Source organism: Homo sapiens, chromosome 8, assembly GCF_000001405.40.
Source record: "Homo sapiens chromosome 8, GRCh38.p14 Primary Assembly".
Classification (NCBI taxonomy): Eukaryota; Metazoa; Chordata; class Mammalia; order Primates; family Hominidae; genus Homo; species Homo sapiens.
Genome location: NC_000008.11, coordinates 124735931 through 124754882, shown reverse-complemented (window position 1 = coordinate 124754882; position 18952 = coordinate 124735931). Strand labels below are relative to the sequence as shown.

The 18952-nt window shown below is 41.7% G+C and overlaps 1 long non-coding RNA gene across 5 annotated transcripts in view, besides 1 other annotated feature; it reads right to left on the bottom strand.

Annotated features, from left to right (window-relative positions):
* LOC105375741 (uncharacterized) overlaps nucleotides 1-18952 on the bottom strand; it is a 28835-nt gene that overhangs the window by 2491 nt on the left and 7392 nt on the right. For 2 of the 5 annotated variants that reach the window (XR_001745686.3, XR_001745687.3), the window contains exon 3: nucleotides 12113-15447. The exons of 1 other annotated variant lie outside the window; for it this stretch is intronic. This is a non-coding gene — a long non-coding RNA (uncharacterized LOC105375741). Of the gene's footprint in view, nucleotides 1-12112; nucleotides 15448-18952 lie in introns of those variants that run through there. 2 more of the 5 variants (XR_001745688.3, XR_928609.4) reach the window with 2 other exon arrangements.
* Nucleotides 2546-3087: an enhancer, noted in NCBI's record as "OCT4-NANOG hESC enhancer chr8:125764038-125764579 (GRCh37/hg19 assembly coordinates)". NCBI's record gives its function as "activates a minimal SCP1, AML or CMV promoter by ChIP-STARR-seq in naive H9 embryonic stem cells {active_cell/tissue: H9 hESC(naive)}" and the evidence as "EXISTENCE:reporter gene assay evidence [ECO:0000049][PMID:30033119]".

Here is an 18952-nt window from a genome sequence, read left to right as displayed (position 1 = left end):
ATCACCAGAATTCAGTTTTTTTCCATGTCTCTGCTCAATTCTGTCCTCCTTCATGTGTCGGCCTTATTCTCAGACATGACCTCACTTCCCAGGTGCAGTCTAGATCTTAAGACCTCTCACGTTCAAGTCCAATGGGAAAGAGTAGCTCCATTTTCATGTTAACCAAGAAAACCCCCTCTGGTTTTCTGACTGGGCCTTGGCTCAAGCCTGTTCCCTCTCTCAGACTAACCACTGTGAGCCGGAGAAAGGACTTCCCTGGGTGACTTGGACCTTACTCCAGTGATTCACCACTGGAACCAATGTAGAGGTCAGCTTCACGCAAAGCACATGGCTGAAAGTGGGGGTAGGTGTTTTCCCCAAACCTAAATCAAGCAAGGTAGAAATAGGCAACAAAATAACAGATGTCCAGCCAGGTGTGGTGGCTCACACCTGTAATCCCAGCACTTTGGGAGGCCGAGGCGGGCAGATCACCTGAGGTCGAGAGTTCGAGACCAACCGGACCAACATGGAGAAACCCCATCTCTACTAAAAATGCAAAAGTTAGCCAGGCGTGGTGGCACACACCTGTAGTTCCAGCTACTCAAGGAGGCTGAGGTAGGAGAATCGCTTGAACCCGGGAGGTGGAGGTTGCGGTGAGCCGAGATTGTGCCATTGCTCTCCAGTCTGGGCAACAAGAGCAAAACTCCATCTCAAAAAAATAAAAAATAAAACTATAACAGATGTCCCCTGCAGCTCATTTGAAAGTAATTCAGCCAACATTCCTAACATAATGTGGATTTGCAACAGGTGGGTTTAACAGCAAATTTTGTTTATCACAGCTAAGAATTCCTTTCCTGTGTTTGCCAGCCTAAACAAGAAATAGTTTCTATGAGGTTTTCATTCTTCTTCCACGAGTTCATTTGTCCTTTCAAATATTTTCTGAGTACTAATGAAGACAATAAAAATAGTTTTCACACTTACTAAACACACATATAAAACATTATCTCATTTAATTCTACTACTAGCTGATAAGTTCTCAAGCAGGGGTGATTTTGCTCCCCCAAGGACATTTGGCAATGTCTGGAGACAGTTTTGATTGTCATAGCTCCAGGGCTGCTACTGGCATCTAGTGAGTAGAGGCCTTGAATGCTGCTGAACATCCTGCAATGCACAGGACAGCCCTCCACAGCAAAGAATTATCCAGCCCCCAGTGCCGATAGCATGGAGATTGAGAAAACTTATACGTGCTCGTGACACTATCTTCACTTCTATAGATGAAGAAAAATGAAGCTTAGAAAAGTTAAGCAACTTGTCCAAGCTTATGCAAGGTACGAAGTAGTAGTGGTTGAGATTTTCATCCAAAGCCCTTGCTTTTATCTGTTGATAATTAAGCTTGGAATTGGAACTCAGTGTCCCTCCACTCTATCCCCACCCACTCTAAATTCTGGGTCAGTGGATTGGTACCCATAGGCGTTACTGTAACAGGATTGCGGATGATGTCAATGTAAGCAGCTGACAAGTGTTTGGAGCCCCTGCAAGGAAGAGGCCCTGCACACATTGGTGCCAGGCCTGGGGGAGGCAAAGATGTGTGGTCTCTCGAGGAGACAGGTTCATGGGCTGCTATGACACACAGTGGGATGAAAGCATAATGACTGCCATTTCACACCTCCAATCTTGGTACATGCTTTCTCCTCTGCTTGGAATTCTTTTTGCTCTTCTCTTTTCTAACTTCTCATCCTTTAAGCTCATCTAGAAAGCTTGCCTACCCTCCCTCTCTACAGTCTGTTTCAGGTGTCCTCTGTGGTCCCATAACATACTAAACAGAATGGAACAGTTCCACTCGTCACACAATACTGTAGTTAGAATTTGACTTGGCTGTGTCTCATCCCCTGGACTATCAGCCACCTAAGAATGGAACCCACAGCCATGAACCTTTGTGCCCAGCCCAGTGCCTGGTGGTGGGGTATTTGCCACAAATTACTATTTGCTGTTCGTCTATTCTAGGAGTCAGCAAACTTTTGCTGTGAAGTGTTAGATAATAAATATTTTAGGCTTTGCAAGCCATCTATCATCGTAAATACTTAATTGTTGTTGTAACACAAAAATATCCATAGAAAATATGAAAATGAATGAGCTTGGCTGTGTACCAATAAAAGTTTATTTACAAAAGCAGGCGGTGGGCCAGATTTGGCCTGTGGGCCACAGTTTGCTGACTTTTGTCTATTAAAATAACCATTCTTCCATCAGTATGTCCCCATAAAATTTTAGATGTGCACATTGCTGCCAAACAACCTCCAAAATACAGTTATATTTTCCAGCCAAATATGGACACGTGAATAAATTCTAGCCAATGTATTTGGAGAAGCATTATTTGGGACTCCTTGGAAGGCTGTTTAAAAGCAGGTGATTCATTTGGGAAAGGCCCCTTTCCTCCCTTCTGTTTTTCCTCCTTCTTCCAACCTATGAAGGGCTCCAGGTATCATCTCAGGCCGTGAGGTGACTTTGAATAAAGAAACCGCAAGCAAGGAAAGGAGAGCAGAAAGTAGGAGCCAGAGTCCCTGACAACACCAGGGAGCCGCCATGCTTTTCCTGCATGGCCAACCTGTAGACTTTACATGAGAGAAAAATGAACCCTGTCTTGTTTAAGCCACTGCATGTGTTTGTGTTATTATTGGCATGAGAACGTAATCTTAACTATATACCATCGCGTGGAAACACTCAACAAATATCAGAGCAGTGAGAGGAACGCTCAAAGCATCAGGGAGAGCCACAGAGGAAATGAGTTCTGCTGGGTGGGTAGGGAACCATGGAAACAAACACAGGGGCCTCCTCAGGCTCTTCATGGTTAAGCACCCAGGGTGATTCACATCTCTGGCCAGTTCCTTCCGGCCTCTTTCTTCCTCCCTACAGGGGACTTTCTTTTTATAGTGTCTTCCATCAGCTACTCTATCTTTGGAGGCATCCTTCTTCAAGTTTGTATGTCATAGAGAATTCAGTTTGCTACAAGAGATTGTTCTGTTTCTTGTCAGTTTTACTTACTGGACACCAAGGAAGAGCAGCTGGAAGAATCTCCTAAGTGACAAAAGAGCAGTGCCTACCAGAGTGAGGACACGGAACAGGTCCTTCTTGCCATGGTCACTGATGTGATTGCCTTCTGTTGCCAGCAGGTGGGTGGCAGAAAGGGGAAAGCCTGGCTCTAGCATCAGATAACCCTGAGTTTAAATAATGACTCAGTCTCTGGGCAGTGTGGCATTGGCCAAGCCACGTCATTTCCCTAAGAGTCAGTTTTTCTTTCTTTTTTTTTTTTTTTTTTTTTTTTGAGACGGAGTCTTGCTCTGTCGCCCAGGCTGGGTGCAATGGCGCCATCTTGGCTCACTGCAAACTCCGCCTTCCAGGTTCACGCCATTCTCCTGCCTCAGCCTCCAGAGTAGCTGGGACTGCAGGTGCCCGCCACCATGCCCGGCTAATTTTTTGTATTTTTAGTAGAGACGGGGTTTCACCATGTTAGCCAGGATGGTCTTGATCTCCTGACCTTGTGATCCACCCACCTTGGCCTCCCAAAGTGCTGGGATTACAGGTGTGAGCCACCGTGCCCGGCCAAGAGAGTCAGTTTTTCAAACTACAAAATAAGTCAATCATCACTTTCTCATAGCACTGTTATAAGAATTAGACAGTGAAAGGGTGGCCGGCACAGAGTGAGGGTTCAAATGATGGTTCTGGAAACCCCTCTCTGCCTGCTACCCTGACGATGAGGATGAGAACTTGGCATTTGGGTGGATCCCATGCCACTGCTTTGGAAGGGCAAAACCCCCCAGCTTTCAAACTTAACACTTCCTTCCTTTCCTCTTTTCTTAGCCTGTCGCCACACAATTGAACTTCCTTTGTATTCTTTCACTCGCCTTTAAAGTGCTAGCAGAACAATCATTAGAATCAGTAAAAAAAAAAAAAAAAAAAACCCTATTTTTTTCCCTGACATTATTTCATACAACCAGCCTCACTTGAGTCCTGCAGAGACATCCAGTGCCACAAGGACATTCTCAATGTCACAGTTACTGGCCACGCACTTTCACTTTCCGATGAATGAGGCCTTGGCACGGTCATCTCCAACTGAACAAGTGGTCACATGACACTTTAAACCTGGAGGCCATTTCCATAAAGGTGTCTTACAAATACAAAATAGTCCACATCCCAGGAGAGGTCTGAAAAAGCTATTAGTGCTATGCAGTGGAAATGAACAACCCAAAAAAAGCTGCCAGCAACGAACAGGACCCCACGGCATCCAGTATGGGAGCTGGGTTCCATAGAGCGGCGGTCCACACGGCTGTAAACGCAGCACTGCTTCCCGTAAATGGTGTCAAGGAGAAGAAGTGAGCAAGCTCCAGAGAGAGGGCAAGTGAAGGGGACCTGCAGGTGATGGCTCTTTGGAAGCATTTGTGGCAGGGCCACTGATTGAGTATATCAATAAAAAACAACCCCCTCAAAGGGAAAGAAGAGCAAATTGTGGCATAGATCTGGGTGGGCAACAAGCAAATGATCTCTCGTTTTCCCTAGCATCTGGTGAAATAAATGTTTTGCTTTTTTTTTTTTTTTTTTTTTTTTGAGACAAGGGCTTGCTCTGTCATCAGGCTGGTGTGTGGTGGCACAATTATGGGTCACTGCAGCCTTGACTTCATGGGCTCAAGTGATCCTCCCACCTTAGCCTCCTATGTATCTGGGACTCCAGGCAAGTGCCACCATGTCCAGCTAATTTTTTCCATATTTTGTAGGGACGGGGTTTTCACCACATTGCCCAGGCTGGTCTTGAACACCAGGGCTCTAGCGATCCTCCCACCTCGGCCTCCCAAAGTGCTGGGATTACAGGTATGAGCCACTGTACCCTGTGTAAATGTTTCTTTTCATTCAACAGGGCATCCAAACCTCACAAGAGAAACAATTAGACATCAGGAATATACGAACAAAAGCTTGATGGGGCAGAGTAAATGAATGACTGTTTGTGTATAGTGAAGGCTTTCTCTTTGGTTGTTGACAATAACCATGGCCTAGGGAGAAAACAGTAAATGAATCAGGGAGACTACATAGTATTAACTTCCAGTGTGTATGGGAGGTTATGTTAGACCCTGTGCAGATTAGATAGAAGCCATTCATTCGTTCATTCAGTCATTCCATAATACCTGTTAGGCCTGTGTCATGTAGTAGGCCTTGAGGTAGGTAATTGCTGGGGATTCAGTGGTGACCAGGCAGCCATACCTCTGCCCATATACAGTTGACATTGCAGGAGGTAGAGTGATAGCCATGAGCCTCCACATTCTGGACCTGGCATCAAATTGCCTCTGTAGAATTCTGGTTCCATCATACTATCTGCATGATGATGTTGGCCAAGTTACTTACCCCTGTCATACCTCGGTTTCCCCACTGCAAAAAGCGAATACTAATAGCATCCCCCTTGTGGGGTCAGAGTGAGGCTTGCATGAGATAATGCACATGAAACACTCAGAACAGAGTGCCATTCTGTGAGTTCTAGTTGTGGTGGCTGTTGTCATTATTATCAGCACAGGCCAGAGGGGCTGAGAAGGCCAGCCTGGAGCAAGTAATGACAAATGCGCTGAGAATGAGCAGAGCTGTGTATTATGGCAACACTTAAGAGGAGCTCATCTGAGAGCTAGATGTGCATTTGGTGGCAGAATCTGGGCTGGGACCCAGCCTCCTGGGTTCTGACCTAGCTTCTTTCCTCAGGCTGCTGGAGACCTCCTCAAAACACAACGAACTGCATGGGACTATGGCCCACAGAGTAAAACAGAAAACCAAAGAGCCACTGCAACACACACATTAGTATCACCTGTATCATGGCCAAGCAGAACAAGGGTTTACAGAGGCAGATGGCAATGAGGGTAAAAAGTTAAGCTCTAGTGGAATGGACCAGGACACACCCTAACTCCACCCCTTGCTAGTTTTGCTACCTTTAGCAAATTACTTGGCTTTTTCCTGGCCTCGGTTCCTCTCCCTGTTAAATGAGGCTAATGATAGAACCTGTCTTACAGGGTTACTGTGATGACCAAATATTCTAAAACTAGCAGCCTTTGTTGTTGTTGTTTTTATTGTTAAATCTCAGGCCTAGTTTACTGTGAGAGTGTATTAATCATTCAGTTCTGAAACTTGTGCCCTCTGTGTGAAGCTGTTCAGGGTTGACCTAAGTAATCAAAGGTTTACATGGTTCTGAAATCCTGGCTTGGGAGTGATAGCTGGTGCTGTGGTTTAGATCTGTGTTCCTCCCCAAAACTCATTTTGAATTGGAAGGCCCAATGTTGGATGGAGGTGGGGCCTGGTGGGAGGTGATTGGATCATGGGGGTTGATCTCCCCCTTGGTGCCGTTCTCATGATAGTGAGTGACTTCTCATGAGATCTGGTTGTTTAAAAGTGTGTGGTACCTGCCACCCACCTTCCTCCTGCTCTTGCCATGTGAGGTGCTGGCTTCCCCTTTGCCTTCTGCCATGATTGGAAGCTCCCTGACGCCTCCTCAGAAGTAGATGTCGCCATGCTTCCTGTACAGCCTGCAGAACTGTGAACTAATGAAACCTCTTTTCCTTATAAATTACCCAGCCTCGGGTGTTTATAACAGTGCAAGAACAAACTAATAAAGCTGTTGTCCCCCTTCTTTTGATTGTTCCTGGCCCACACCAGGAACCTGCCTGGATGGTTTCCTTAGAATTTGGCTGAGGTAAGTTGAGGCCATGTCACTGGTATTAAAGAACCAGACATAAACTTCTTAACAAACAGGCAGGCTATTTTTTAAAAAAACATTAATTACACATTTTATTTGTAAAAGCAACATAACAACAACACCATTAGGCCATTTTTAATAACGGCTTTATTGTCATATGATTCACTACCATAAAATTCACCCTTTCACAGTGTACAATTAGCCTCAGAGTTGTACAAGTATCACCACTCATTCCAGAATATTTTCATCACCTCCAAGAAGAACCCCATGCCCTTTAGCAGGCACTCCCTAGTCTCTCCTCCTCCCTTCCCCAGCTCCTGGCAACTATGAATCCTACTCTGGACATTGCATAGAAATAGAATAATAGAGGCCTGGAGCAGTGGTTCCCAGCACTTTGGGAATCTAAGGCAGGTGGATTGCTTGAGCTTAGGAGTTCAAGACCAGCTTGGGCAACATGGCAAAACCCCAGCTCTACAAAAAATACAAAAAAATCAGCCGGGTGTGGTGGTGCACACCTGTGGTCCCAGCTACTCGGGAGGCTGAGGTGGAAGGATCACTTGAGCCTGGGAGGTCAAGGCTGCAGTGTGCCGAGACCACACCACTGCACTCTAGCCTGGGGGCGTGAGACCCTGTGAAAGAAGAAAGAAGAAAGAGAGAGAGAGAGGAGAGAGAGAAAGAGAGAAAGGAAGAAAAGAAGGAAGGAAAGAAGGAAGGAAGGAAGGAAGGAAGGAAGGAAGGAAGGAAGGAAGGAAGGAAAGAGAGAGAAAGAAAGAAAGAAAAAAAGAAAGAGGGAAAGAAAGAAAAGGAGGGAGGGAAGGAAGGAAGGAAAGGAGGGAGGGAATATTTGGCCTTTTCCTTTCACTTAGCATAATGTTTTCAAGGTTTATCCATGTTGTAGCATGGGTTACTACTTTATTCATTTTTATGGTTGAATAATATTCCGTTGTATGGTATAACACTTTGTTTATTCATTCATCAGTTGATGGATATGTTTGGCTATTATAAATACTACTGCTATGACCATTTGTGTATAAGTTTTAGTGTGGACATATGTTTTTAATTTTCTTGGGTATATACCTGGAATTGGAATTGCTGGATCACATAGTAACTCTATGCTTAACTCTTTTGAGGAGCTGCTAAGTTATTTTCCAAAGAGATTGTACCATTTTTATTCCTACCAATAATGTCTGAGAGTTCCAATTTCTCTACATCCTCATTAGCACTTATAATTGTCCATTTTTAAGATTATGACTATCCTAGCTGGTATTAGGCAAGTTTCTAAAGAGAAAAAAATCTTACAATTGTTTCTTCACATATTTCACTCGGCCTCCCAAAGTGCTGGGAGTCACTGCTCCCGGCTTTTATTATTCTATTTCTATGCAATGTCAGGAGTAGGCAAATCCATAGAGACAGAAAGTTGAAGGCTTAGAACTGTGCCTGGCATGTAGCAGACAACACTCAACATATACTTGTTAAATAAATAAGTCATTTTGTCATCTCAATGGGACTATTTCCATTTTGTTTTATTCCTGTCTAACCTATCTACACAATACACATTTCACAGTTATGCCCATATTTGCAATTCTTCCTGCTTTCTTTCACCTCACATTAAACTTTAAAATATCCTTATGTTTCCACACAGCCTTCATTATTATTGTATTGGCTGCCTAATAGTTCATTTATTGGATGCAGTGTAATGGACTAAACCATTAGATAGTGTGCACCTGATTTTTTAATACTGACTTTTTAGCAAGTTGGAAGTGAAGGAGAAAGTTGCCTATTTGGCAGCCTTTTCCAGATGGCAATGTGATGACTGAAGAGAGCAGACAGAAAAATACCTGTATTCATCAGGGCTCTCCAGAGAAAGAAAACTAATAGGGGAGATATATATATATGTATATATACACACATAAATATATATGTAAATCCCTCTCTCTTTCTCTTTCATGTATACACACACACACACACACACACACACAGTATAAATATATTTATACATTATTTCATATATACATATATATTTTATATATATACACACACATATAGGTATTTTAGGCTATTATTCAACACACAATGTGCAAATATATTTATACATTATTTCATATATACATATATATTTTTTATATATATATACACACACACACATATAGGCATTTTAGGCTTGCTAGGGCTTTGCAGGCCATATATCACAAATACTCAACTGTTGTTATAACTCAAAAATATCCGTAGAAAATATGTAAATAAATGTGCTTTGTTGTGTACCCTACCAATAAAACTTTATTTACAAAAGCATGCGGTAGGCCAGATTTGGCCTGTGGGCCACAGTTATTGACCTCTGTAAATATATATGTATATGTGTGTGTGTATATATATATATATATATATATAGAGAGAGAGAGAGAGAGAGAGGAAAAGAGGGAAATAAGGAAGGAAGGGAGGGAGGGAGGGAAGGAAGGAAGGAAGGAAGGAAGGAAGGAAGGAAGAGAATAGAATAGAATATTTGGCCTTTTCCTTTCACTTAGCATAATGTTTTCAAGGTTTATCCATGTTGTAGCCTGGGTTACTACTTTATTCCTTTTTATGGTTGAATAATATCCCATTGTATGGTATAACACTTTGTTTATTCATTCATCAGTTGATGGATATGTTTGGCTATTATAAATACTACTGATATGACCATTTGTGTATAAGTTTTAGTGTGGACATATGTTTTTAATTTTCTTGGGTATATACCTGGAATTGGAATTGCTGGATCATATAGTAACTCTATGCTTAACCCTTTGAGGAGCTGCTATGTTATTTTCCAAAGACACTGTACCATTTTTATTCCTACCAGTAATGTCTGAGAGTTCCAATTTCTCTACATCCTCCTTAGCACTTATAATTGTCCATTTTTAAGATTATGACTATTCTAGTTGGTATTAGTTAGGTTTTTTTATACCTATATATTTATTAAACAGGAAAACATATAGAGAGAAATTTACCCTCAATAATCAGAAAATATACATTCTTTTCAAGTACAAATGGAAGTATTCACTAAATTAATCATGTACTAGGCCACAAAGATGCAACAATATACTCCAAAAAGTTAACATCATGCAAATCATGTTCTCTGACAATAATCCAATTTAGAAAGAAAGCAATGAGATAATTTTGAAAGAATATACCAGCAAAGTAAATATCTAAGAAACCCTTCGGTTAAAAGGAAATCATGAAAGAAGTTAAAAAACACAAAATTAAATAACAATGAAAACACTACCAGTGTTTAAAGAGAAAAAAATCTCACAATTGTTTCTTCACATATCTTCACTCAGCCTCCTAAAGTGCTGGAAGCCACTGCACCCAGCTTTTATTATTCTATTTCTGTGCAATGTCAGGAGTAGGCAAATCCATAGAGACAGAAAGTTGAAGGCTTAGAACTGTGCCTGGCATGTAGCAGACAACACTCAACATATACTTGTTAAATAAATAAGTCATTTTGTCATCTCAATGGGACTATTTCCATTTTGTTTTATTCCTGTCTAATCTATCTACACGATACACATTTCACATAGTTATGCCTATATTTGCAATTCTTCCTGCTTTCTTTCACCTCACATTAAACTTTAAAATATCCTTATGTTTCCACACAGCCTTCATAATTATTATTGTATTGGCTGCCTAATAGTTCATTTATTGGATGCAGTGCAGTGGACTAAACCATTAGATAGTGCGTACGTGATTTTTCAATACTGACTTTTTAGCAAGTTGGAAGTGAAGGAGAAAGTTGCCTATTTGGCAGCCTTTTCCAGATGACAATGTGATGGCTGAAGAGAGCAGACAGAAAAATACCTGTATTCATCAGGGCTCTCCAGAGAAAGAAAACTAATAATGGATATGTGTGTGTATATGTGTATATATATATATATATATATACACACACATATATATGCATACATACATACACATATATATACACACACATATAAATATATATGTAAATCCCGCTTTCTCTTTCATGTATATATATACACACAATGTACAAATATATTTATACATTATTTCATACATACGTACATATTTTATATATATATACACACATAAGTATTTTAGGCTATTATTCAACACACAATGTACAAATATTTGTAGACATTATTTCATATATACATCTATATTTTATATATATATATACACACACACACACATATAGGTATTTTAGGCTTGCTAGGGCTTTGCAGGCCATATATCACAAATACTCAGCTGTCCTTATAACTCAAAAATATCCATAGAAAATATGTAAATAAATGTGCTTTGTTGTGTACCCTACCAATAAAACTTTATTTATAAAAGCATGCAGTAGGCCAGATTTGGCCTGTGGGCCACAGTTATTGACCTCTGTAAATATATATGTATATGTGTGTGTATCTATATATATATAGAGAGAGAGAGAGCAAGAGAGAGAGATTTACATAAATATAAAGAGATTTATTCTAGTAATAAATGAATATAGAGCTTCATTATAAAAAATTAGCTCATGTGATTATGGAGGCTAGAGGCTAGCAAGTCCGATTCTGCAGCATGGGCCCACAGGCTGGAGATTCAGCAGAGCCAGTGGTGCCAATGAAGTTCAAAGGCAGTCTACTGGAGAATTCCTTCCTGCTCAGGGAAGTTGGTCTTTTTTTTCTATTCAGATCTTCAACTCATTGGATGAGGCCCACCCATATTATGAAGAGAAATCTCCTTTACTCAAAGTTCACCAACTTAAATGTTAATCTCATCCAGAAACACCCTCTAAGTTGACACAAAGTTAATCATCACAATCCTGAATGGATTCCAAGGTCCTGCTTTGGTTTCCTGTGTTGTTGTACATGGAAAAATTACCTAAGAGTCTGACCCACGTATGAACCCTGCCTTCTAAGCTTCATTGCTTAAACAAAGGCAAAATAGAATAAAGAGAGAAGAGTAGAAGTGGCTGCAAAATGAAGAACATTAGCTTCATTATTAGGACAGTAGATTCCAAGCCAGTAGGGTTTTGATGAGCATTTCTGTCTTCCTCATTATACTGTCATTGCCTTATCCTGAGTTTTCCACCTTCAATCTGTATGCCCTTGATATAGTTTGGCTGTGTCCCCACCCAAATCTCATCTTGAATTGTAGCTCCCATAATCCCCATGTGTCGTGGAAGGGACCTGGTGGGAGGTAATTGAATCACAGGGACAGGTTTTTCCCATGCTGTTCTCATGATAGTGAGTAAGTCTCATGAGATCTGATGGTTTGATAAAGGGCAGTTCCCCTGCACATGTTCTATTGCCTGCCACCATGTGAGACATGTCTTTGCTCCTCCTTCACCTTCCACCATGATTGTGAGGCCTCCCCAGCCATGTGGAACTGTGAGTCCGTTAAATCTCTTTTTCTTTATAAATTACTCAGTCTTTGGTATGTCTTTATTAGCAGCAGGAGAACAGACTAATATACCCCTTGAAGACAAAGATTGTGCCTGGAGCCCCATTGTAGCTCTTGGGTTCACCTGTTAAGTCCTCAACAAATTTTGGTCCTTATTTATAAATTGCTATTGTTTGCATGTGTTCCCCAAAGTTCATGTTTTGGAAACTTAATCCCATGCAACAGTTTTTGGGAGGTGGGGCCTAATAAAAGGTGATTAGGTCAGAGGGCTCCGCCCTCATGAATGGATTAATGTTGTTATCACAGGAGTGGGTAATTTATCTCCAGAGTACCTTTGTTATAAAAGCGAGTCCAGCCTCCTCTTGCTTGCTCACTGCTGCCCTTTGTTGCCTTCCACCTTCTGCCATGGGATGACACAACATGAAGGCCTTCACCAGATGCAGGCACCATGCTCTTAGACTTTCCAATCTCCTGAACGGTGAGCCAAATAAACTTCTATTGTTTATAAATTAATCCATCTCAGGTATTCTGTTATAGCAGCAGAAAACAGACTAAGACACAAATGTTCATGGTATGCCTAACTTGTGCCTGCCCCTGTGTAAACAGCTTAGGTACGTGGTCTTGATTACATCTTACAACAAGCATATGAAGTAGGTGCTGTTCTCACGTGCATAGTGGATTGCCTGGTGAAATGGAATTTTTTTAAAAAAGCTTGATATTTAGGAATTCCTGGCTGCTTCTTTGTGTTGGGGAGAAAGCAAACCTTCTAGAAACATCTTTCATTATTCTAGGAAAAATCACTTGAATAGCCTTTCTTAGTAAACAAATGCAAAGAGGTAGATACCCATTTCCTGGGGAGACAGAAAGGTCAGGATAATGGCTTCCCCTTGTCCTTCTCTTATTAGGTAGACAAAGTCAGCTCCTCTCCTCCTTCCATTTCCCTAAGTCCTCTCAGGGGATAAAGCTGACTGCTAGGTGGTAGTGGGAAAGGGCATGTAGAGATAAGAGAAGGAAAATTCTCGATAAAATAGAGCCTCATGTCTAGTTTACATGCATAGCTGCTCCTGGACAGCTATTCCCTCTCCTCTCCAGCCTGGTTCCCAGCTCCGCTCCACAGGTTCTCTCCTTTCTTTCCTTTTCTAGAAAGTTCTTGTTCTGCCTCACTATTCCCACCACACATAGCCTTTTGGTTCTCTATGTCTGCACTGCATAATCTAACACAGTGGCTCCCAATGTGCTTTTTAAATATGAGGCCATCTTTAACCATTTAAAATTGTATTTATCTGTATAAAACTAAAACATACTTGTAAAAATAATACAAATATTTTGCCAGGCATGGAGCAGAGTCCTCAGTCAGTATGCATTTCTTCTCCAGGGTAAAACAGAGTCCAGTAAGGTGGTTTTAGCTGTGATGCACTGGGGAGATGGTGCTGTGTGTTGTCAAGAAATTTAGAATTAGAAGTTTTGGGTTCTGGTAATATTTCTGCCACTTACTAGTTGTATGCCTCTGAGAAGTCCACAGCTCCAAGCCTGTTTCTGCTCCTGGAATGTAAGTCCAGTTGAGCCCTTTCACAGCCAACCCACCCCCGTGTCAGTGTGAGATCTGCACAGTATCTGCGAAAATGCTTCATAAATTATCTAGAGTTATGCAAATGTGAGTATTATGGGGATTACAGTATGTTATTGCCTGGAATCATGCTTCCAGTATTTTAAAGAATCCATTAATGGGATGCTCTTAAATTTTTTTTTTCCTGGCATTATTCTCAGCCAGGCTGCAACAAGGAGTCTTACTTGATCAGTATGGCCTTTACTTAGGTATTTACTTAGCTTTTAGGTCTTTAAAGCAGCACATGATTTTCAAGTGAGTTATTCAATTAATCGTTTCTGTATCACTCTGATGCCCCTTTGGACTGTCTGCTTATTGAAAGCCGTCCCATCTGGAGGGACTGCCCTAACTCCCTGCTCATCCTGCAAACAGATCAAATGGCCTCCAGGGGAAATCCCAATTAATGGCAAAATCAATTAGTCACAAGTTGGGAAGAAAGAGAGAGCCAAATGGTTACCCAACACATAATGTACCTTCCTTTACACAATGTGTGGTCCAGTAATGCATCTAGATGGGATTTCTACAAATTGAATCAAAACGAAGGAGATTGCTATTTAAAGGACCCCTGGGGGGAATTATCTGATAAAAGATCTTTCCATATTCATGAATGAGTCTCTAGAGAGAACTGCTATTTCTAAATTTGTATTCTTAAAATCCAGTTTTCAAATTATTATTATATTAAAACAGTTTCTATAATGATAATAGTCATAGAGATCCAATGACTAAAAAGTACATGAATTGTGTGGCTATAGGTATTTCTCCTCTGGGAGTTAAAGTTTAAAGAGAGATGGTACCTTGATGATAGGTCCTTTATACAAGGACCTTCCTTGTATACAAGTCCCTTCCTTCACTTTGACAAAGGAAGAAAAATTTCAACTCATGCTAAAGAAAATCTCAAACAATTAGTTATAATCAATAAAGGAATGGGTTGCCCTTTGAAGTATTAAGCTGCCTGTCAGAAAAAAATTTACATTATAAAGAACAACTTTGTGGAAATCTGTTTTCATTTTATGATTAGTCTTGAATTTGTTCTAGAAAATACACATCTGTGGAGGTGTGAGATGGGAAGCCCTCTCCTATTTCAACAGGTTTATGTTAAAATAGCTTTAGTGTAAAATAAATATAAACAACAAGTTCTGGGGGAGAGGAACTGTCCCAGTGGCCATTGGGAAGAAGAATAGGTTGCAGCCACCTGCTTTGTCTACTGATGCGGGTCTCCTGCTGTTTGTATTTATAGACACATCAAGGCAGGGACAGGGTATCAGAGCACGTGGGGGAAGATGAAGCATCACCTGAGAAAGGCCTTTCTTCTTTCACCATGAATGCCTCCTTGAGTCACTGCCTGGAGCCAACAGCACCATCCCTTCCTTAATCTCTTTTCCCAACTGTTTCTGCAACACATAAACATGCACATACACACAGAGACAGACATATATGTCTAGATATCTAAAACAGACAAAGAACCCAGAGAGAGCTTAAAATCAGGTCTGCAGGTCAGCCAGACTCATATGGAAGACATCACGTGGAAGGGACCAACCCTCTCATTTTACAAATGAGGAAAGCGAGGCACAGAGAGGCTAATGTGACTCACCTGCCACTCAGGTGGGCAAGTCATTTCTTTTCCCTCCATCTCCTGATGTGCATCACAGCATCTTCCTGCCTTGAAGACAGGGAGCCAGGGGTGTTGTGCTCATTAGTCGGGTAATGGCTGCCACCACCTTTGAAGCTGCTGGATAGGATCCCAGGTAAATAGCATTACCCCCTGCAAATGAAATGGTTCCCTGTACACAACCTGTTTTCACTTGTTGCCTGTGGCCGCTGGCCACTTGTGGCTGGAAAGATTACTACTGAACTCCAGGTCATAAGCCTCCATCTGCTCACAACCTTCAGAAAATAGGAGGGCTGGGTCTGGTTCTTATTATTAAAAGCAAACAAACCCATTATTAAAAGTAAACAAGACAGAACTGCTTTGAAACAATTGACTAAATGTCTCCTGGCTCAGAAGCCTAAATTCACCCCTATTAGCCCAAACCAAGCCTTCCTTAGTGAGAATCTAGAGAGGAAAGCTAAAAGTTTCTTGTTAAAAAGAATCCCCCTGCCCCCCTGCCCCCCTGCCCCCAACACCACCATTCTCTTGGGCATTCAGTAACTGCTGCAGGCTAAGCTCATTAACCATATTATCTTTAATTCTCAAGATTTTGAAATGAGCATTACATTTTGTATGTTATGCAATGGGATGGGCCAGTCAAGTAATTTGCTCACGGACACAGCTGAAACACTGAAACACCAGAATTCGAACTTGAGTCTCTATGACTTCAAACCCCATGCCCATTCCATCTCACATACTGCCCCCATTAAAAATAGTCTCCCATGTTGCTGTTTCTGTTGTTGATTTCAAAGAAAAGCTCAAGACCTAGGAGAAGAAAGTCTGCTGTCTGCTCAGGTAAAACCTCTTGCAATTGCAGGCATTCTGATAGAGTTGCTCTGGGGAGGAAGCTCTGAGCCACCCTGGTTACTTAAATATATAAAGTGGACAGAGCAAAGATGATAGATGCTAAACTGCTGGTATTCAACATCTTTCCCCAATGTCTGCCTAATTCCAGTGCCATTTAATATACTCTGTTGTCCAAACAAACCAGAATACACACAAAGCTTGCAGTGCAAGGTACAGAATCTTGGCCTTGCCAGTAAATCCAGAGTTAAGCTCTCAGTGACAGACTCCTACTAGCCAAACTTACAAGAGACTGACATATAGTCAGACCATTAATTGACTACAATACGATTTTGTTTGCCTGAGTGTCTTAATGCTAGAAACATCTAAACAATGGTTTATTCCAAAATGAATGTTAAAATCTTTAAAATCATGCTATCTGAAGACTCAATAAACAATCTGCTGTGATTACAAAGCTAGGAAATGGAGAGATTTAACACACCACCAATGACTATTTGGGGACCTCACAGCAGCCAAGTTTTTTTTTTTTTTTTTTTTTTGAGACAGAGTCTTGCTCTGTCGCCCAGGCTGGAGTACAGTGGCACGATCTTGGCTCACTGCAAGCTGCAAGCTCCGCCTCCCAGGTTCATGCCATTCTCCTACCTCAGCCTCCTGAGTAGCAGGGACTATAGGCACCCGCCACCACACTTGGCTAATTTTTTGTATTTTTAGTAGAGATAGGGTTTCACTGTGTTAGCCAGGATGGTCTTGATCTCCTGACCTCATGATCCGCCTGCCTCGGCCTCCCAAAGTGCTGGGATTACAGGCGTGAGCCACCGTGCCCAGTCACAGCAGCCAAATCTTTTTATGTGGATGGATGGTGTCAACTGTTACAAACAGATGGACAATGACTCTACCAGTTAGTTCATACTGTAAAAAACCTTATGAATTAATGACTACACCAGTTATTTCATGCTGTAAAAAACCTTATGAATTATAAGAAATAAAAAACTACTTATGGGAAAACACTCTGGAAGTTCCTCAAAAGGATACACATAGATTTTCCACATAACCCAGCAATTCCACTATAGGTATATATCCAAGAGAATTGAAAACATACCCACACAGAAACTCACCCAAGGGTTCATAGCATCTTTATCAGTAACAGCCAAGAAGTAGAAACAACTCAAATATCCATCAACTGACGAATAAACAAGATGTGATATAACCATATAATGAAATATTATTCAGCCATAAAAAAAAAGTATCGATCCACACTACTGCATGGATAAACCTTGAGACCAGTATGCTAAGTGAAACGAACCAGATAAAAAATGCCACATATTGTATGATTCATTTATATGAAATGTCCAGAATAGGCAAATCCATAGAGACAGAGTAGATTAGTGGTTATGTAGGGTTAGGGAAAAGGGAGGTTGTGGGGAAATGGAGAGTGACTGCTAATAGGTAGGGGGCTGGTTTGAGGGGTGATAAAAGTGTTCTAAAATTGATTGTGGTGATATTTGCACAACTGTGAATATATTAAAAATCACTGAATTTTGCACTTTAAAAGGGTGCATTTTATGGTATGTGAATTATATCTCAATAAAGCTGGTTTAATTAAAACGACATAGCCAGTCTTTTTTTAACCCTAGCGCTCATGCCTGTAATCCTAGCACTTTGGGAGGCAGGCAGATTAAATGTCTCCTGGCTCAGAAGCCTAAATTCACCCCTGTGACCACAAGCCAAGTCTTCCTTAGTGAAAATCTAAAGAGAGAATCTAACAGTTTCTTGTCAAGAAGAATCCCCCTGCCCCTCTGTTCCCCTGCCACCCCCCACTACTGCCATTGTTCTCTTGGGCATTCAGTAACTGCTGCAGGCTCAGTTAAGTTGAGCTCAGTAGTTCAAGACCAGCCTGGGCAAATGGCAAAACCACATCTCTACAAAAAATACAAAAACTAGCTGTGCATGGTGGTGCACACCTGTAGTCCCAGCTACTCAGGAGGCTGAGGTGGGAGGCTGTCTTGGGCCTGAGCCGAGATCGTGCCACTGCACTCCAGCCTGGGTGACAGAGCTAGATCTTGTCTCAAAAAAATAAAAAAACAAAAAGACATTTACTACTGAGCAGTCGACGTTCATGCTGAATATTTTCCATTGCTCCCCTGAGCCCCAATTCACTCTCCAACCTCCCCTGCTTCGCTTTGTCAGAAAGCTGTTCTGTATGGACTGTACCAACAGGCACCTTTGTACAAGTGATCAACCCATTTATTGTCCAAACTGTGGTACTTTTGAGAAAGAGCGATGGGAGCAAACCAGGACTCTGTGGACAAATGTCTGTTGGAGTTTGATTCTTGCCGTCCAGGTTGGTTGTAGGGCCCTTCAGAGGGCCACAGCTCTTGCCACACTCAGCCCCCTCCACGCAGCTGGCTCTCTGGGTTCCAGCTTACCCCCTCTTCTTGCCCTCTCCTGGCAGGGGTGGTGATGGCTTCTCACCATTGCTGGACCCCAGAGCTGCACCATCCATGGTGTTCCCTACACCCTGCCCATGTCCGTGCAAATAGTCTCTTTCTTAAACTTCCTTCTTACCCAGTTTGAGTGGGCCATCTGTTTCCTGCCTGTACCCTATAGACACAAAACTCCAGAAAAGCAGCATGAAAGATAAATTTGAAAGGAAGGGTGTGGTCGGCACAGTGATCCTGCTAGATATCTTCCAAAGGGCCGTTGCGCCGACTCTCCTGTTTCTGCAGATTTCTGTTACGCCAAATCCTGCAAATAAATGATTTTACTACACCCCCCAGCAACAAGGATGTTACAACAAATACAATTTTCTTTTTTT